The following is a 21934-nucleotide window of genomic DNA, read 5'->3' on the forward strand; positions in this document are numbered from 1 at the left end:
GGTTACCTATAGGGGGCAGGTGGCAAAGGGGTGGAAAGAGGGAGCGAATGGGAACAGGCTAACAGGGATAAGAAGAGAGTGACACTTATCTGAATATATCTTTTTTTGTGGTTCTCAGAACCATAGTAATGTTCTTATACTCAAAATATAGACAAAGCAATTAAAACCAACCAGAATATAGGGGAGGGAAGTACCCAAAATGGAATACAAACACTAAAAAGTGAACCTAACTCTACTACAAATGAAAATAACCACACTCAAAAGAAAAAATTCAAGTAACCTTGAAAATCAGTATGTTGACTGGATTCTGTAGGGTTAAATGCAGCAAACACTCTCCATACATTCTGTAATCTAGTCAGTAAATGTATACTTTCTCATAGGATTGTGGGTAAGCAATTCTGAGACAACTTTATATAGTAGAATTGAATGCATAAGTAAGTGTATCATAAATAATAAGAACTGGGTTTGTCACTATTGGATAAAGAAATTAAAATAAAAACCAGGGAACCCTCTTCCAGTACCCCATGTGGTGTTGTATTGGAATCTGAGGTATCAATATAAACTCAGGATTTTTAATTTTTGTACTAATAAATGCAGAAATATAGCTGGGCACAGTGACTCATGCCTATAATCCCAGCACTTTGGGAAGCCTGAAGTGGGCGGATCACTTGAGCTCAAGAATTGAAGACCAGCTTGGGCAATATGGTGAAACCCCATCTCCACAGGAGTGGAGGAAAAACCAGGCAGAGGGACCCCCAGGACATTGAGGGGCTCTGGCCGCTGTATGGGACACGCTTCTGGAAACTTGCCCCTAATAGGGCATCAAAGCCAGGCAGGCAGGGGCTCCTCTGTCAGAGGTTGGAAGCCAGGACTGCATCTTCCCATCTTACTTTTGGGATGCAGGTCAGCTGTTTTCCCTCAGATGAGAGGTTCCAATTTTTTGTTTGTTTAGTTTTTGAGACAGAGTCTCGCTCTGTCACCTAGGCTAGAGTGCAATGGCGCTATCTTGGCTTAGTGCAACCTCTGACTCCCGGGTTCAAGCAATTCTCCTGCCTCAGTCTCCCGGGTAGCTGGGATTACAGGCACACACCACCATGCCAGGCTAATTTTTGTATTTTTAGTAGAGATGGGATTTCACCATGTTGGTCAGGCTGGGAGGTTCCAATTTTATAAGATGAGAAGAAGGGCTGAGGTCATGCCCATTCTGCCACTTTGCTGAGTCCAGAGCTATGATGAAGTGAAGAAGAAGGCACAGGGCAGGACAAAGAAGGGAGCTCAGGGACCCGGGAGTTTTCCTTGGCAGAAGTCAACTTGCCCCACCCCTGAGAAAACTCTGACCTTCTCAGCTGCCAGGGAGGAACGCAGGGACTGGGGAGGAGGGGACAGGGAGGGGAACAGTCTGCTGCTCTGTGCCCTGGGAGAGAAGTCTGATGACGGCAGTAACTCAGGAAGGGTTAAGAATATTCCTAAAATAGCCAAGCCACAGTCTAAGCCAGTCCATGAGCAGAGAGCAGATCTGTAGCAGGAAAAGTCAGCCTGATCTTTGCCCCACTGCCTGCTGCCTAGCCCTGGCTGCTAATTAAGCCTCCTACCCTGTCCCCTTCACCAATTCCTCTTGTCCTAGTGGGGATGGGGTAGGAGTAGTCAGAGGAGCCAAATCACCCCAATCAACAGGGAACTACAGCTGGGACCAGGAGCACTGGGCCCAGTGGCCCCCCAATCCACACTCCTGGTCTGAGAGTCAGGTAGGGGGACATAGGGAGAAAGACAGGCAAAGTGCAGGCTTTGTGCATGGGATGGAGGCTGCCAAGAGAGAGCAGCCAAATTCTCCCACCCACACACATGCATCGCCAGCCATGATCAGGTGGGACCTCCAAGATCATCATCAGATACCGCCTTCTCCTAGCTCTGTGTTCCCCTACACTTAGGGCATCTTGGAGTGAGACAGGCAGGGAGGGGTTGAGGGAGCCCCTACATGAACAAACCATATCTTTGTTTCAGGGGCAGGACCAGGTATATAATTTGCAGGACCCAATGCGAACTGAAAATGTGGAGTCTGTCATTCAAAAATTGTTAAGAATTTCAAGGCAGTGACAACAGAGCATTAAACCAAGTTCAGGTCCCCTCTGAGTGTGGGGCTTTTGCCACTGCACAGGTGGCACCTTTATGAAGCCATCCTTGTGCAGGGATTTGGTTTAATGAACATTTACTAAGCGCCCACTACTCAGCTCTTCTGGCTCTGTAACATGGTCTGGCTCTGTGTCCGCACTCAAATGTCATTTTGAATTGTAATCCCCATGTGTTGGGGGAGGGACCTGTGGGACGTGATTACATCATGGGAGTGGTTCCCACATGCTGTTCTCGTGATAGTGAGTGAGTTCTCCTGAGATCTGATGGTTTTATAGGGGGCCTTTTCCCTCTTCATTCTGCACTTCTCTCTCCTGCTGCCATGTGAAGGACGTGTTTGCTTCCCCTTCCACCATGATTGTAAGTTTCCTGAGGCCTCCCCAGCCATGTGGAACTGTGAATCAATTAAACGTCTTTCCTTTGATTAACTTCTAATCTATAACTAAGGTCTGAGTCCTGAAGACCTTCCTCTGGAGCCTCAGTAAATTTATTTTATCTAGATGGGTCCAGGTGCTGCAGGTGATTACCCTTATCTTGTCTCCTGCAAAATCATGGAGGTTTGGGGAATTCTTTAGACTTCCTCTCGTGTGGAGGTTTGTTTTCTTCTTTTTTCTTTCCTGCAAGGACAAAGTGAATTCTGTGATGGTTTATGTATCATTTTTGAGTTTATTGCCAAAAATTGAGGCTCAAGTTTGTAGACTACATTTTTAAATAAAATAAAACTTTCTAGACACAGAAATGTAGGTGAAGCTGTTCCTTTGATACCATTTTCCGAATTTACACAGAGGTGATAGCAAATTTTTCTCTTTATCTTTCCTTGAATTGTATATATGCATATAAATGCTCTTAAATTCTTAGTGCAACAGGGTGGATTGTCATTACAGAGAACGTTCTTAGCATAGAGTACAAATCTTCCCACTGCTGACTAGGCTCTGGTCACATAGCACCCCGAGCTGGCCTTCAACTTCCACTTCTCGGTTCTTTTGCTTACCTTCTCTATTTCTAGAATGGCTTTGTCATTTCACTTGTCTGTCTGGTAATATCCTACTCCTGTAAGAATCAGTGAGTTCTTGGTACATACTGATCTAAATTTGCCTCCGGTTTGAACCTTTTTCCAGTTTTCCAGGTAAAGTTGATTTATCTGTCTTCTATGTTTCCATAACAATCTTTCCAAGCATAATACAGTAAAAAGAGAGCTGATTCATCATGTCCTGTCCATTTCCCTCTGGAGACTTTGGAGCCGACGTGAGGGTACAGGTGTGCCCCTGTATAAGATCTTTGGTCGCCTTTGTCAAGTTTAGCGCAGTTCTCAGTGTGTAATTGTTATCAGGTGCCATTAAACTGGACCTGAATAATTGAAGGATTCAAAGTGTTCAGGAATCACCCAGGATGCTTCAATACTTCATCCTAATTAGGGATATGGGGAAAGTTTGCATGAGAAAGAAGTTTTTTTTTTTTTTTGAACTTTAAGGATAAGTTAAAATTCAGTAGGCAGAATGACAATCTTGATAATTTTTTATTTTTTATTTTTATTTATTTATGTTTTTTTTTGAGACAGAGTCTCGCTCTGTCGCCCAGGCTGGAGTGCAGTGGTGCCATCTTGGCTCACTGCAACCTCTGCCTCCTGGGTTCAAGTGATTCTTTTGCGTCAGCCTCCCGAGTAGCTGAGACTGCAGGCATCCGCCACCACACCCGGCTAATTTTTGTATTTTTAGTAGAGATGGTGTTTCACCATATTAGCCAGGCTGGTCTCAAGCTGCTGACCTCATGATCCGCCTGCCTTGGCCTCCCAAAGTGCTGGGATTACAGGCATGAGCCACCACGCCCAGCCATTTTTTATTTTAAAATGTTCATTTTTTACTATTTTGATACAATAACTATTTTTTAAGAAAAGGCAGAAATCACTGTTTATTAGAAGGCAGATTTTACTGATTTTTATACCCCTAGATTTGTTGCATGTCAAACCTATATAAAACATCTATAAATCAAATCGTTAATTGCCCCTAGTGTAATAATTCTATATATGGATGTAATGTTTGAATCTTCAGGAGCTTTGATAACTTGAAGGCCTTTTGATTGCTTTAAAATTAATTCTCATTGTATTTGTTTATATTGTATCGTTAAGCAAAAGTACAGAGTAAGCAATTAGTGTGATTAATTCCTCTTCTATAATACAGTAAAGCACTGCCTCCCTAGACCAATTCTCTGGGATCCCTGGAAGACATCTGGCATCCAGCAAGTCTTGACCCCTCTTTAGAAAGCCATGGAGAAACTGGAGGCAATTCTGTTAAGTATTCGCTCTCTAGAGGCAATTCCATTAATTACCCTCCCTCACCTATCCATGACACAATTTCTCCAGTTACATGTAGAAGGCTGTTATGTGTCTCTTGGCCAGACCCTTTATTTCATAGATGTGGAAATTGAGGCCCTGAAGGATGAGGTGAGTGTTCAGAGTCCACATGACTAGTTAATGCCCAGAACCTGGCCTGGACTTCTTTCTTGTTCCGGGGCATTGAGTTCTCTCCCTCTTCTTTAGCACGTATGGCCAGAGGTAACATAATCTGCGCATCACATTTGCATTTGGAGTGCATCTGTTTTGCATTCATTTAATCTTGTTGAGATGGTTTGCTTGTTGACCTACTCAGTCAGTTATCTTTTCACCTTTGTGAGTTGAGAGCTTTGTGTATTAAGTCTGTAAAACTTTGCATCTTGGAAAGTGACATAATCTGTAGCAGACCCATGCTGTTTTCAGATGCATCTTAATTGTGATAGTGATAGTGATCCAGGAGATACACATGTTTTTCTGTGCTATTTCAGAATACGCCTTCTTAATCCAAGTCAAGATGGAGTCAAAAACAACAGACTACTACATTTTTGTTTATTTTATTTAGGTAAAATACCTGTTTTCTGACAAGACTAGGACTCTTACATAGACTGCCATGAACTACAAGAAGTATAGCATTGCTCAAATAACCTGTGGTAAGTGTATTTATCACTTATTGAACATTTTACTTGCATTCTTTCTACAAAATGAGTTTATTTTTAGCTATTGAGTCAAATTATCTTGACTTTCTGATGTTTTGATAGAATATTTATAATAGATTTAGGTATTTCGTTCATATTGAATGTTTTTAAAACTAAATGGGTCCCAAAGGAAACTGAACAGTTAAAACATGATTTACTTTTGCAAATATTAACCTAATGAGAAATCCCAGGGAATCTGCACATTTGTGTTTTCTATCTAGCAATTATTAATTTCTTAGTGTATGTTTTGATCCAACTTTTTTTTTAATATATGCTAGCAGATTTTTCTAAGCTTTCTTAAAACTGTCATAAAATATTTGTAATACTAAGGTCAAGAATTTAATTTGGTATCATAGATCTAACTCATTAACTGTATTTATTTATTTATTATACTTTAAGTTGTAGGTTACATGTATACAACGTGCAGGTTTGTTACATATGTATACATGTGCCATGTTGGTGTGCTGCACCCATTAACTCATCATTTACATTAGGTATATCTCCTAATGCTATCCCTCCCCCTCACCCACCCCACGACAGGCCCTGGTGTTCTCCATCCTGTGTCCAAGTGTTCTTTGTTCAGTTCCCACCTATGAGTGAGAACATGAGGTGTTTGGTTTTTCTCTCCTTGCGATAGTTTGCTCAGAATGATGGTTTCCAGCTTCATCCATGTCCCTACAAAGGACATGAACTCATCCTTTTTATGGCTGCATAGTATTCCATGGTGTATATGTGCCACATTTTTTTAATCCAGTCTATCATTGATGGACATCTGGGTTGGTTCCAAGTCTTTGCTATTGTGAATAGTGCCGCAGTAAACATACGTGTGCATGTGTCTTTATAGCAGCATGATTTATAATCCTTTGGGTATATACCCAGTAGTAGGATGGCTGGGTCAAATGGTATTTCCAGTTCTAGATCCTTGAGGAATCGCCACACTGTCTTCCACAATGATTGAACTAGTTTACAGTCCCACCAACAGTGTAAGAGTGTTCCTATTTCTCCACATCCTCTCCAGCACCTGCTGTTTCCTGACTTTTTAATGATTGCCATTCTAACTGGTGTGAGATGGTATCTCATTGTGGTTTTGATTTGCATTTCTCTGATGGCCAGTGATGATGAGCATTTTTTCATGTGTCAGACTGTCTTTTGATCACAGTTTTGTGACCACTCTGTTTTCCCTTTCTCTGGCAGTCACTTCCCGGAATTGACAAGGAATTCATCCTCAGGTGATTTCTGCTAAGTAAATCCTAGCACTTCTTGACACTTTAGAAAAGGCTTTGGAATAATTTTATATTAGCATTTCTCACCTGCATATTTTTACATGTAAATACAAGTTGTGTATACATTACTTTGAAAGAGAACCAGGATAAAATTTAAAGAAACATGGTTTTAGAAGTCCAATGGTAGTATAAGACTTCACAAAAAACAGACTGCTCTTGATTCAGTACTTCCTACTTACTCTCCAGATGCAGCCAACTTCAACAATTTTTACTTTTAAAAAAATCTCTTTTTAGATTTCAAAATAATATGTTTATGTGTGTGACCTGTCTCTCCCCCATCCTGCCCTACTCTGGCTTTACCCCCTGTAGAAGCATTTAAAATTTTCTGCATATCCTTAGCATATACTGTTGCAATTATGGGGTAGGCTTTTTTTTTTTTTTAATTTGTGCATTTAATGAACCCGTAGTGGTACATGTCTGTTTTTCTTGTTAATTCTTGGGAATGTCTTTCTGTTGTTTCTATAATAATTTTCTTCCCCTCCAGCTTCCCTGTTTCTTCTGAGTCTCTTGTTAGATATTGAACCTCTTGAGTTGATCTAATTTTTGTCATCTTCCTCTCTCATTTTTTGTATTTTGTGTTTAATTTTCTGGTATCTAATTCACCTTGATTTTCTATCTTTCTGGCGACATTTTCTTTTTTTTTTTTTTTTTTTTTTTTTGAGACGAAGTCTCGCTCTGTGGCCCAGGCGGGAGTACAGTGGCGCAATCTCGGCTCACTGCAAGCTCCGCCTCCAGGGTTCACGCCATTCTCCTGCCTCAGCCTCCCGAGTAGCTGGGACTACAGGCGCCCGCCATCACGCCCGGCTAATTTTTTTGTATTTTTAGTAGAGACGGGGTTTCACCATGTTAGCCAGGATGGTCTCGATCTCCTGACCTCGTGATCTGCCCGCCTCGGCCTCCCAAAGTGCTGGGATTACAAGCGTGAGCCACCGCGCCCGGCCTCTGGCGACATTTTCATATGCTCTCACTTTTCAGTTGTCAAAAGTGTTCTCTTGACCTTGCCCTTGCATTCTGTTTTCTCTGCCCACCTCTTCGATTCTCCCCATTGCCGCCTGGTGTTTTGGTTTCTTAATTTTATTTTATAGGCTTTCTTCAAAGGCCTGGTGATCATTTGCTGTGTGCTTATATATTTTTATTTTTTCACTGGGCAAAATACATGTAACATAAAATGTATCATATTAACTATTTTAAGTGTACAATTCAGTTGCTTTAACTGTATTCATAATGTTTTGCAATGATTTCCACCATTCCATTCTACAACTTTTTCATGTGAAGCTCTGTACCTGTTAAACAGTAATTCCTAACTCCAGTCGTCTTCCAGTCCCTGTTAACCACCATTCTACTTTCTGCCTCTATGACTTTGCCTATCTTAGGTACCTCAGATAAGTGGAATCATACAGAATTGTCTTTTTGTGTTTGGCTTATTTCCCGTAGCATAAGGTATTCAAGGTTTCATTGTTCATCCACATTGTGGAATGCGTCAGAATCTCCTTCCTTTAAAAAGGAATAATATTCTAATAATATTCCATTGCGTGCATATATCACATTTGTTTATCTATTCATCTACCGGTGGGTATGGTGTTGCTTCCACCTTCCAGCTACTGTGAGTAACGCTGCTGTGAACATTGCTATACAAATATCTTTTTGGGTCCCTGCATTTAATTCTTGGGGCTATATACCTCAAAATGGAATTACTGGGTCATACCATAATTCTGTGTTCAACTTTTTGAGGAACCACCATGCTGCTCTCTAGAGCAGACCACCACTTTACACTACTATTAGTAATGCACAAAGGTTTCGTTTTCTCCATATCCTTGTCAACACTTGTTATGTTCCATCTTTTGTTTGTTTGCATTATAATAGCCATTTTAATGGGTGTGAAGTTGTACCTCCTTGTGGTCTTGCTTTCCATTTCCCTTATGACTTGTGATATTGTCTGCACATAGTTTAAGGTTTATACACTAACAAAGCTGATTACTAGCGGTGTGTGTGTATGGGGAACTGTGTGGCTGCCGAGTGGCTTCCCTGTGGGATGATCAGCCAGAACCCGCTATTGTATTAGGGGATCCCCAGACATCAGTGTTTATAGTTCTTTTTAGTTTTTACGGGTACATAGTAGGTATACATATTTATGGGGGACATGAGATATTTTGATACAAACATATAATGCATAATAATCACATCAAGGTAAATGGGATATCCATTATCTCAAACATTTATCATTTCTCTGTATTATAAATAATTCAGTTATATGCAGTTATTTTAAAATGTACAAAAAACTATTGCTGACTATAGTTACCCTGTTATGCTACCAATTAGTAGATCTTATTTATTGTAACTATATTTTGTACCTATTTACTATCCTCATTTCCCCCCACCAACTATATTTCCCAGCCTCAAGTAACAACCATTCTACTCTATCTTTGTGAGTTTGTTTTAATGTTTAGCTCCCCAAAATGAGTGTGAATGTGCAAAGTTTATCTTTCTGTGGCTGGCTTATTTAACTTAATATCCTCCAGCACCGTTCTGTGTTGTCACTAATGACAGAATCTCATTCTCTGTTATGGCTGAATAGTACTCCATTGTATATATGCACATTTTCTTTGTTCATTCATCTGTTGATGGACACTTAGGTTGCTTCCACATCTTGGATATTGTGAATTAGTAATGCAGTAAACATAGGAGTGCAGCTATGTCTTTGATATATTGATTTTCTTTTTCATGTATATGTCTAACAATGAGATTTCTGGATCCTATGGTAGCTCTATTTTTAGTTTTTTGAGGAACCTCCAAATTGTTCTCCATAGTGGTTGCACTAATTTACATTCCCACCAACAGTATGCAAGGGTTTGCTTTTTTTCCATATCCTCACCAGCATTTGTTATTGCCTGTCTTTTGAATAAAAGCCATTTTAACTGGGATGAGATGATATTTCCTCATAGTTCTGATTTGCATTTCTCTGATAATCAGTGATGTTGATCACCTTTTCCTAAGTCTGTTAGCCTTTTGTATTTTTTCTTTTGAGAAACGTCTATTAAGATCTTTTGCCCATTTTAAAATCAGATTATTAGATTTTTCTCTATACAGTTGTTTGAGCTTTTTATATATTCTGGTTATTAATCCCTTATCAAATGGATAGTTTGCAAATATGTTTCCCCATTTTGTGGATTTTCTCTTTGTTGATTGTTTCTTCTGCTGTGCAGGAAGCTTTTTAACTTAATGGGATCCCGTTTGTCCACTTTTGCTTTGGTTGTCTGTGCTTGTAGGGTATTGCTTAAGAAATCTTTTCCCAGTTTAATGTCCTGGAGAATTTCCCCAATGTTTTCTTGTAGTAGTTTCATAGTTTGAGGTCTCAGATTTAAGTCTTTAATTTGTTTTGGTTTGGTTTTTATATATGATGAGAGATAGGAGTCTTGTTTCATTCCTCTGCATATGGATATCCTGTTTTTGCAGCACTATTTATAGAAGAGATTGTCCTTTCTCCAATTTATGTTCTTGGCACCTTTATTGAAAATGAGCTCACTGTAGATGGATGGATTTCTTTTGGATTCTTTATTGTGTTTCATTGGCCTCTGTGTCTGTTTTTATGCCAGTAGCATGTCGTTTGGGTTACTATAGGTCTATGGTATAATTTGAAGTCAGGTAATCTGATCCTTCCAGTTTATTTCTCTATGCTCAGGATAGCTTTGGCTATTCTGGACTTTTTGTGGTTCCATATAGATTTTAGAATTATTCTATTTTTGTGAAGAATGTCATTGATATTTTGATAGGGGTTGCATTTAACCTGTAGCTTTCTTTGAGTTATATTGACATTTCAACAATATTGATTCCTCCAGTCCATGAAGGTGGAATATCTTTCCATTTTTGGTGCCCTCTTCAATTTCTTGCATCAGTATTTTATAGTTTTCATTGTAGCAATCATTCATTTCTTTGATTAAGTTTATTCCTCATTTTATTTGTAGCTATTGTAAATGGGATTGCTTTCTTAGCTTTTTTCAAAATGTTTGATGTTCACATATAAAAACGATACTGATTTTTTTATGTTGATTACGTATCCTGCAAATTTCTTGAATTTGTTTATCAGTTCTAATAGTTTTTTGGAGTCTTTAGGTGTTTCTAATTATAAGAGATTGTCTGCAAATAATTATAATTTGATTTATTTCCAATTTGGATGCGTTTTATTTCCTTCTCTTGTCTGATTGCTCTAGCTACGACTTCCAGTACTTCCAGAAAAAGCTCAATTAATACTGAATTAACAGTGGTGAAAGTGGGCATCTCTTGTTCTAGATCTTAGAGGAAAGGCTTTCGTTTTTTTTCCCATTCAGTAAGATACTACTTAATGGGTGTGTCTTATATGGGTTTTATTGTGTTGAGGTGTGCTTCTTCTATACCCTGTTTTTTAAGCATTTTCACAATAAAATGTTGAATTTTATCAAATGCTTTTACAGCATCAGTTGACATGATTATATAATTTTTGTCCTTCATTCTGTTGATATGATCACCTTGATTTGCATATGTTGAACCATCCTTCTATTCCTGGGATAAATTCCACTTGGTCATTATGAATAATTTTTTAATATGTTGTGGAATTTGTTTTGCTTGTAAATTTTCTTGAGGATTTTTGCATCAGTTTTCCTTAGGGATATTGGCCTGTAGTTTTCTTTTTTAATGTGTCTTTGGTTTAAGTATCAGCCATCGAAATACTCCTCCCTCCTCTATTTTTTGGAATAGTTTGAGTCGGATTGGTATTAGTTCTTCTGTAAATATTCGGTAAAATACAGCAGTGAAGCTATTGTTTTTAGGATTTTCTTTGTTGGTACTTTTTATTAAGGCTTTGATCCCGTTATTTGTTATTGGTCGGTTCAGGTTTTGAAGCTTTTCGTGTTTCAATCTTGGTAGGTTGTGTGTATCTAGGAATTTATCTATTTCTTTTAGGTTTTCGTGAGTCTTTTTGGTGAGCTGGTCAGCTTTCTTCTCATGAAAATGACTTAGTTTTCTGCTAAGGGCCACACATTTGACTGCAACTGTTATGGAAGCTGAATGGAAGCAGAGGCTTGATAATTGTGCCTGTCAGTGTATGTAGAACTCACTTTAAAACCCTGTTTGGGGAGGATACTGTAGCCTATCCGTATGTGTGCCTGTGAGCCCAGTGTCCCTGGGCTCAGGGCTACTGTGGTTTAATTTCTCTAAAAGATAAACCTTCCATTTGTTTCTGCTAGTGGAAGGTTTCGTTGTCTGGCTGCATAGGATGAGGGAGGGTTCTTAAAGGTGGAGTGCTCCTCAAATGGACTGTCAACTTGATCTTCTGTCCTTCATAGTGAAGTTTCTGTATCATCTCATGTTATTTTCAAAAGCATTTTCCTACCCTTGCCTTTGCATTGACTGCCCAGTCTTCCACCTTCCCTGTACCTCACAGTTACCTCATGTGCCTTACAGGTACCTTGTGCTGTAATTTCTTCAGGTTTCACAGGGTTCTGTTAGGAGAACAGAAACAGAAGGAGGTAATCTAAGTAAACCTGTACCTATTAAATAAATCAAAAACTGATAATCTTCCAAAACAGAAAGCACTTGGCCCAGATGGTTTCACTGGTGAATTTCATCATTTAAGGAAGAGATGGAACCAACTTTCTGCAATCTCTTTCAGAACATAAAAGTAGAAGGAACACTCTCTAATGCATTCTATAAGGCTAGCATAACCCTAATACCAAAAGCAGATAAAAACATTACAAGAAAGGAAAACCATAGACTAATATCTCTTATAAACAGAGAAGCAAAATTCTCAACAAAATATTGGCAAATTGATAGCTAGGTGTGGTGGCTCATGCCTGTAATCCCAGCACTTTGGGAGGCTGAGGCGGGTGGATCACCTGAGGTCAGGAGTTCAAGACCAGCCTGGCCAAGATGGTGAAACCCTGTCTCTACTAAAAATACAAAAATTAGCCAAGCGCAGTGGCGGGTGCCTGTAATCCCAGCTACTTGAGAGGCTGAGGCAGGAGAATCACTTGAATCCGGGAGGCAGAGGTCGCAGCGAGCCAAGATCACACCACTGCACTCTAGCCTGGGTGACAGAGCAAGACTCCATCTCAAAAAATATATATATATACACACACACACATATATATATATATATATATACGTGTATATGTATATATATGTATATATATGTGTGTATATATACGTGTGTATATATACGTGTGTGTATATATATACACGTGTATATATATATACGTGTGTATATATATACACGTGTATATATATATACGTGTGTATATATATACACGTGTATATATATATATACGTGTGTATATATATACACGTGTATATATATATATACGTGTGTATATATATATATATACACGTGTATATATAGGCAAATTGAATGAAATATTATATAAAAAGAATTATAAATCACAAGAGAGATTTATTCCAGGTATGTGAAGCTAGTTCAACATTTGAAAATCAATAAATGTAATCCATCATATCAAAGAAGAAAAATCACGTGGTCATATCAATAAATAAAGAAAAAGTATGTGATATCCAACACCCATTCATGATGAAAACTCTCAGCAAACTTGGAATAGAGGGGAATTTCCTTAACTTGATAAAGAATAGCTACAACAGCAACCCTGCAGCTAACATAATACTTCATGGTGAGAAGCTAGACGCCTTTCCCCTAAGATTTAAAACAAGGCAAGAATGTCACCCTCACCACTCCTATTTAATATACTGGAAGTTCTAGCAAATGTGATAAGAAAATAAAATAAAAGGTAAGAAAGGAAAAATATAGATGAGAAAGGAACAAATAAAACTGTCTTTGCTCACAGATGGCATGATTGTCTATGCAGAAAATCTCAAAGAATCAACATATACATCATCTCTTCATAATGAAATATATGAAATATACTGTTTTTCCTTGGGTATTGGCTGGATTGTAAAATGCTTCTCCCACCTTCTTACCCCAACCTTCTTCCTTGTAGGTTAGAGTTACTTGTTATTGGTAAATAGCCACTGTGGAGACTAAGGACCAAAAGAAACACAGAAAGAAATTTTACAGAAGAAAAACAGTGGGCCCAAAGCTGAAAAGAAAAAGAAGCAGCATCTGCAGGATCTCCAGCTAGGGGATGAAGAAGATGTCTGGAAGAGAAATCCCAAAGCTTTTGCAATTCAGTCTGCTGTGGGGATGGCTTGATCCTTTCACAGGTATGTATAGCTGCAGTCTGATGCTTCTTCCATTGATTCTTTTTAAATAGTAGGAGCATCTCACAGGTGACATTTGGATTCACAAGTTTAGTCACACTCCAAAGGACATGGAGATGCATGATGTGTGGCTTTTACTAAAACATGAGAAGACTTCCCATAGAAGCTGTCTTGCCTCCAGCATCTGCACACTGGTTGGTGTTTCTTGCCCAAGATACAAGAATTTATGGAATTTGTTTCTTCCTAAACTTTAAACTGTTTCTATGGTGATAAGTGTGCTTTTTCCCTCCAGATATGTTTTACAAAGTTGTAATATAAAATACAAAAATTACAATTTGTAATGCTAACATAGCTTTAGTGAGTCCTTGTGATATGCCTAGCAGTGTACTTTAAACATTATTCAACTAAATACTTCCAGCAGCCTTACCAGAGTAGGAATCATTCTTGCCTTCATTTTATGGATAAGAAAACTGAGGTCAAGAAAACAAGTTACCTCCAATCATAAAGCCAGTAAGTAGGAGAGCCAAATTTAACTCCAGAGCCTCTGATCTTATCTGTTACGATGCACTGCCTCGGTATTTACCTTTTGTTTTTAAAAAAACTATTAAAATCACTCATAAAACAGTCAGATTTAAGGAGTGTTTAATTTTCAACTCTTTATACTATTGAAGTCATCTTGCTACATCTTTATTGAACAGCAGTTATTTGGATGGGGGCCAGTAGTTAACAAATTAATAATTGACAGGTTAATTATATTTTTATATTGTCTGTTGTACTCTCTATAAAATATACTAAAGTACTCATATCTATAAGTAAACTAAAAAAAGTCTACTTATAAGGTTGATACCTTTTACTCTATTTTGAAAATGAGTTTACTTTTTTTTTTAATGAATAGGACTCAGGATTTGAAGACAAAAAAGCATCATATTCCAGTGGTTGATCAGACTCCACTAGAGCCGCCACCAATAGTGATAGTGGTGACGGGGCCTCCAAAAGTTGGAAAGAGCACTTTGATATAATGCCTCATTGGGAACTTCACCCAGCAGAAGTTGACCGAGATCAGAGGCCCTGTGATGATCGTGTCAGGTAGGAGATGCCACCACAGCCACAGAGTTGGCCTGGCTGTTGTCATCTGAGGGAGATGCATGTGTTTTCTGTTTTCTTGAGTGGAACATGTTAAATTTTGTCATATCATGTTAACTCTCTTATACTTTTACTAAGTTAGCTATAACTTCAGAAAAGGGTAAGTTCCCAGAGATAAGGATGTGATACATATCTTATCCTGACTGCTGTATGGCTTTGCCAAGCATGTTGCTTGGAAGGGCGTAGCAGGCCTGGTCACTGTGAACATATCATTTAACAAATAGCATGTACCTCCTATGTGCCAGGTGCACATGCTTGCCCTTATGAAGCCACATGCTGGTGGAAGTGCGCGTTTTCTCTTTTTCCTGTGAGAATTTGTCTGCTTTGGGAGATGGCGACCTTTCCAAGTTTGAGAGAAGATGAAACAAACTTCCAGTGGTAGAATGGCAATGTACACTCTGAAACCTCTTGTTATTGCAATAATATAGTTGGATTGAGGCTTTTCTTTATCTTTGGAGCATCCATATTTTCTTTTCCTTTTTTTGAGACAGGGTCTTATTCTGTGGCACAGGCTGGAATGCAGTGGCGTGATTACAGTTCACTGCAGCCTCAACTTCCCAGGCTTAAGCAATCCTCCTACTTTAGCCTCCTGAGTAATGTATGCCACCATACCTGGCTAATTTTTCTTTTTTTTTCTTTCTTTTTTTTTTTTTGTAGAGATGGGGTTTCCCCATGTGGCACAGGGTGGTCTCAAAACTCCTAGGCTCAAGGGATCTGTCTGCCTTGGCCTCCCAAGGTGCTGGGACTACAGGCATGAGCCACTGTGCCCAGCCCATATTTTCTTGACTGTTTTCTTTTTACCTTAATTTAGAAATAATTATTGTTATGAATATTCTGTTGCATAATGTTTGAGGATGTTTTTAGCTATAGTGGGAATATGGGAAGTTTTGATAGAGGCGAAGACATTGGCCTGTAGCTGAATAGCAGGATCATGGTTATCATGGAGCCTGTCCAGTCAGAGTTTTCTCTGTTTTTGCACTTGTATTCATCTGGGTAGACTTTTGATATTATTTAAATTTAGGACACAGCAAGAAAAACAGGATGGAATTTATTTTATTTTACCAGTTTTTGCCTATAAAAATGAACTTCTGGTACACTCCTATAAACGTATATGGTGTTTTACTGGATGCAGTTAAAAAATGAAAGTTAAAGTTGATGCTTAGAGTGTTTTCAGGGTCTTTTTAAAGTAAAATTTTTATCTTTTTCACTTACAGGTAAAAAGCTCCGACTCACCATTATTGAATGTGGGTGTGACATTAACATGATGATTGATCTGGCTGAAGTAGCAGATCTGGTAAGTCAGCAGGGGCAGCCTGGGGTGCTGATGGAGACTTACAGCATTGTGATAGGTTATTTACCCCGTGATGAAGGGAAGAGAGTTTTATGATTATTAAAGGAATCATGGTCATCATCAGGGATACAGTAGATGTGATTGAATTGATGATGATAATAATAGTAATAAATATTGTTATATTAATAATACAAATGGAATGTGCACAATGAAATGTATTCCAAAATCTAAAAGCAAATCACAGGATAGAGAAAACCTTTAATGAACACAGCTAATAAGAGCTCATTAACATGCATACATATATACGTACAAATATTTCATAGTAAGTACCATTTCTTCTTGGACCCTTCCTGGCACTGTGCTAACTACTTTCTACAAACTTAGCTTACATAAACTCTTGATATACCCTTGAGGTGAGTAGGTATTATCTGTAGTTTACATAAGATGAAATAGAGCCTCCCAGCAGTTAAGTAACTTGTGTGAAGATGGGACCCTTGTTCATGATGGTTCTAGAACCTTCATCATTAATGATAATGCTGAAGTAAGTACATGAATTGCCTGAAGAAGTGGTCAGAGTTTATCATAGAAAATCTAGCTAGTACTCAGTGTGTGGAAAATGTATACACTCTTGCATTTATGGAAATGATAATGTTCAGTATTTCTGATATTCTATTAACTATTTTTTAAATTAGCAAAAATAAAATACAAATTGGCAAAAAAAAAAAAAAGAAAGTCCGGGCACTGTGGCTCACAGCTGTAATCCCAGCACTTTAGCAGACTGAAGTGGCGGATCACCTGAGGTCAGGAGTTCGAGACCAGCCTGACCAACATGGAGAAACCCTGTCTCTACTAAAAATACAAAATTAGCCAGGCGAGGTGGCGCATGCCTGTAATCCCAGCTACTTAGGAGGCTGAGGCAGGAGAATTGCTTGAACCTGGGAGGCAGAGATTGTGGTGAGCCGAGATTCCGCTATTGCACTCCAGCCTGGGCAACAAGAGCAAAACTCCATCAAAAAAAAAAAAAAAAAAGCAAAAAAAATAAGCCTTATTGATTAGGAAGTGTGGGGTGACAGATACCTTATTTTTTTCATTTTTATATATTTTTCGTTTTGTTTTGTTTTTATTGGAGACGGGGTTTCACCATGTTGGCCAGGCTGGTCTTGAACTCCTGACCTCAGGTGATCCGCCTGCCTCAGCCTCCCAATGTGCTGGGATTACAGGCCTGAGCCACCGCGCCTGGTCTTTTATCTAGTTTTTTCTAGAGCTACAGTTTTTATACTTTGGCCCAGGAAGACCCATAAAATATAAAGTGAAAAGTAATACAGATTTTAAAGTTGTGCCATTGTAATGTCAGAAAACTAGATAACCTCAAATTTTGAATCTATAATGCTATTAGTAAAAATAAGTGTTATTATTAATATAAAGTTGTGTATAAATCTTGTGTACTTGAAATAGTTCATAGAAGTCATTTGTTTCTCTTTTATTTAAAGTGTAGCAAGTTTCTAATTTTAAAGACATACATGTTAAGAGATGCCTTTACTTTTTTATTTTTAATTATTATGGATACATAATAGTTATACATATTTATATTTTATGTGTGTGATCATCAAATCAGGGTAATTAGGATATCCATCACTTCAAACATTGATCATTTCCTTGTTTTAGGAACATTTCAATTTCATTCTTTTAGTTATTCTGAATTATATAATAAATTATAGTCACCCTAGTGTGCTGTTGGACACTAGAATTTATTCTAACTGTATTTTTGTACCTGTTAACCTTTCCCTCTTTGTCCCTCCCTCCCTGCTCCCCTTCCCAGCCTCTTAACCATCATTGAGAGAGATGCCTATGTAAATCTTTTTAAGATTTTCAAAAGGAGCACACACATTTAGTAAAGCACTCTAGCTAATGCAGGATACACACGATGTGCGTTTTCTTATTCCTTGCTCTAACCACTGGTCTCTCAGATCCCTGCAGAGCAGTATCCTCCTAGATACATATAAACCCACATGCCACCGTTTAAAAACACAAATGGTAGCTTATTTTACACACTGTTCTATGCTTTGCTTTTTTCGTGTAATATATCTTGAAGGTATATAATCAGTAAGTACTGTAGCTCTGCCTCCTTCTTTTTAATATAATATTCCATTCTGTGGACGCACCATAATTTATTTAGCCTAGCTTATGTTGATTGCTCTGCTCTGGGTTGTCAAAGCCTCCTGAGTACAGCAAAAGCACAGACAATATGTGGATTTGGGTGTGTATGTGTGTACATGTGTGGATTATGGGAGTAACACTGGCTTCGATGACAAAGATTGGCAGCTGAGGGACTGTTTGCTCCCTGTTCTTCCTGACCCTACAACCAGCTGCTTGTCCCTTGGCACTCTGTGGCATCAGATGTGGTGTGAGGACATTCTACCTGTTCTTTGAGCTGGTCCAGTGTTGCTGGAAAGCTCTGCTTGCTGCCTTGGTCCGCAGTGGCAGCTGTGCTTTCTTACAAGCTGACCATATATTCTGTGGTTTCGGATTATGGATGTTTCCTAGTTTAATCAAAGGTGGGCATTTCTGTTTCCATTTTTTGTTATTTTTAGTTATCTATGGAAAGATAGGAACAGAAATGTCTTTAATATTAAACCTAGAAGTTTCCAGGAATCAATTCTGAAATTATTTTGCATCTTTGAAGTGTCTTAAATTACAAAAATTGGTCTTATCTGCTTATATTTTCTTATAGAGTACCATTCATCATAATCTTACTGTTTTTTGACTTAATTCTAAACCGGTAGCTATTTAAAATAAAATTCTGAGCTACTGAGTTATGCAAATTACCATATAAGATAGAGGTGTACACCACATACTTGCCAGCAAAAAACAGATTGGTTTTTTTTTTCTATGAGGAGATTGAAACAAGAGGTTGATTTTCTGTACATATTTAATATATTTCATTGATTATCACTTTCTTCCCATTCTTTGGATGTCAGAGACCTATTATTTGGCTTAAAAATACCTTACAGAAAACTTCATTTCTTTAAATTAGGGTTTCTTAGGTAAGGGCCAGGTTAGACCCAGCCTTTTCTGAGTTACTTCTCATGCATTAGAATTCTTACAATGGATGTTTATATCCTAGTGGCCTTGTCTTATGGTTGCCTTTTAGAGCAAGTCAGAGGGTGGTGGTTTCTCTGGGTGATGCCTGTGTAGTCATTTGATTTAGTCTGGAGTGGGACTTTTCTGTTGAGGGCCAGGTAGTGAATATTGTTGGTTTTGTGGATCATATCTTCTGCAGCTACTTAGCTCTGCAGTTGTAGTGCACAGGCAGCCATAGATGATATGTAAATGAATTAATGTGGCTATGTTCCAATAAAACTTGAGTTACAAACACAGGCGATGGGCTGGATTTGGCCCGTGGGCCAGTTGCCAACCCCTAGTGTAGGTGGTCTGTTTTGGTAGTTTCTTCGAGAAATGATGTGTCCTGCTTTTAAGTACTGATGCTTATAGATGCCAGCTTTGGGTTCGAAATGGAAACCTTTGAGTTTCTCAACATCGGTCAAGTACGTGGCTTTCCTAAAATTATGGGAGTTCTCACTCACCTCGACTCCTTCAAGTATAATAGGCAACTGAAGAAGACAAGCAATTAAAACACAGGTTCTGGACAGAAGTTTACCTGGTAGGAAGAGAAATAATTGTTAGATACTAACAGTATAATCCTTTAAAAACAGACTAAAGAGGCCAGGCACAGTGGCACATGCCCGTAATCCCAGCACTTTGGGAAGCAGAGGTGGGCAGATCACTTGAGGCCAGGAGTTTCGAGCTCAGGGCAATATGGCCAAACCCCGTCTATACTAAAAATGCAAAAATTAGTCGGGTGTGGTGGCGGTGCATGTAATCCCAGCTACTCTGGAGGCTGAGATGTGAGAATTACTTGAACCTGCGAGGCAGAGGGTGCAGGGAGCTGAGATTGTGCCACTGCACTCCAGCCTGGGTGACAGAGTGAGACTCCGTCTCAAAAAACAAACAAACAAAAAACTGAAGAGACATTACTAAACGTCTCTCTAGGATTTGCCTCCTGAATTCCCTTTGTGTATGTTTTCCCAGTCTCTGGAAAGTTTCCCTCAAGAGAGTGGTTATTCTGGGCCTCTTAGTGTATCTCATTTGTCTCTGTACCTGCTGCACCAGGCAGTGTCTGGCTGTTTTGGGGTCGGGACTTAATAGAGTACATCAGAAGTTTCTCCCAGTTACAGGACGAGGCACTGCCCCTTCCTTTCCATACTGCTGTGGTCCATCGGCCACAGAACCGTTTCTGTGCTCAGAGGCCTCACCTCCCTCTCCTCACCATACTTAGATGGATGCCCCTGCTCGGCTGCAGAGCAGTCTGCCTCTGTGTGGTTCTAATAAGTCCTAAAAGAAGCCAGCAAGGCTCTGGAAGCCTCAGGACAGTGGCTTTGCTGGAAGTCTCCCTTCTTAGGATTGCTTCTTGTTTAGAGCTTTTATTTTGTTGCAGTATTGACGAGAATTTAATTGAAATTTAATTTTTAATTTTCCTTTAATGTTTAGGTTGCCAAGCTGTTCTACCTTTCTGGAATGGTGCATGGAGAATATCAAGACCAAGAAATCCACAATCTGGGCCATTTTATTACAGTTATGAAGTTTAGGCCTCTCACATGGCAGACGTCTCATCCTTATATCCTGGCAGACAGGTAAAAAGTGATTGTAAGCTTTTATTTCCTAGACCATATATTTCAAAGCTAAAAAGGCTAGAAAAAGAACAGTGATAGGATTTATTTTGTGCCTATTTGAATAGTGGGGGTAGAAGTGTAGTTGATGGAAAATGTCTACTTATATCATTGCTCAAAGATGCTGTGCCTTTGGGAGTAAATTAATTATGAGATGTTTAGGAAAATGGGAGGACTTGGAAGCATTTAAAGCTACAGGATATGGCCCCATCCTATGTTCAGCCTCAGTTTTCAGTGATGCTGCCTTCGTGCCCGGGTGCTTGAGTCCTTTATGTGTGCCTTCAGTTTCCTTCCTTTGTGCTCTTCTTTGTGCTGTGGTTTTCTCAGCCTGGAATACCCTTTTTCCACCTGCCAGAATCCAAGCCACAGTACAAATCCCAGAGCACAGGCTCACCCTCTTCCAGAAAGGGATTTTCTGAATATGTTCTTCACTCTTCCCTGACCCCAGGTGGACGTCATCTCCCTGTCTGGTGTCTTACGGAATGAATGTCACTTTCAGCCTAGAGACACAGTTGTGTGCCTGCCCCTTTTCCTCTGGTGGGTGGTGAATGGTGCTTCCTTATTTCTGTATTTTCTAGTTTTCTAAACGACATGCTTAGTGGACAAGAGTGTGATGAGTCATTGACACATGAAAGGACGTATAGGAACTTTGGCATTCATTTCTGCTGTATGATTGAGTTTATTTTTCTAGGATGGAAGATTTGAAAAACCCAGAGGATATCTGAACAAAATGTGACTGGCAGGTGTCACTTTATGGTTATTTAAGAGGAGCACACTTGAAAAATAAAAGCCAAATTCACATGCCAGGTATTCTCTTGTTGTAGAACATACTAGAATCACACATAGGATTCTTGGGATGGCTTCTTTTCTCAGGAAAACTGAAAAATGACCAAACAAGGGAAGATGGCTTTGGTGGAGGTTTTAAAAGTAAGCCAGCTATGTGTAGGCCTGTAAAGGTGTTATTGAATCCCCTCTTCTCTGACCTTTTGTCTTATAGCTAGAGGAGCACTGTTCCAGTGTGGCACAATACTCTTCTTTATGGTCATGGGTTAAGCCCTTGGACTGTGCATCGTTTTTTTTTTGTTTTGTTATTGGTGACTGACCCCATGAGTCATGCTCTTTACAAAGCATGCATTTGGATG

The 21934-nt window shown here is 39.0% G+C and overlaps 1 long non-coding RNA gene and 1 pseudogene across 1 annotated transcript in view; both read left to right on the forward strand.

The window, feature by feature from the left end:
• Window positions 1–21934, forward strand: part of AGAP11 (ArfGAP with GTPase domain, ankyrin repeat and PH domain 11) — a 39891-nt gene that overhangs the window by 8500 nt on the left and 9457 nt on the right. Inside the window, exons 2-7 of the long non-coding RNA NR_171046.1 lie at window positions 5019–5106; window positions 13412–13634; window positions 14527–14717; window positions 15989–16068; window positions 20614–20756; window positions 21484–21599. This is a non-coding gene — a long non-coding RNA (ArfGAP with GTPase domain, ankyrin repeat and PH domain 11). The remainder of the gene's footprint in view (window positions 1–5018; window positions 5107–13411; window positions 13635–14526; window positions 14718–15988; window positions 16069–20613; window positions 20757–21483; window positions 21600–21934) is intronic.
• Window positions 13410–21600, forward strand: BMS1P3 (BMS1 pseudogene 3; annotated as a pseudogene).

This window comes from Homo sapiens, chromosome 10 (assembly GCF_000001405.40).
Source record: "Homo sapiens chromosome 10, GRCh38.p14 Primary Assembly".
Taxonomy (NCBI): Eukaryota; Metazoa; Chordata; class Mammalia; order Primates; family Hominidae; genus Homo; species Homo sapiens.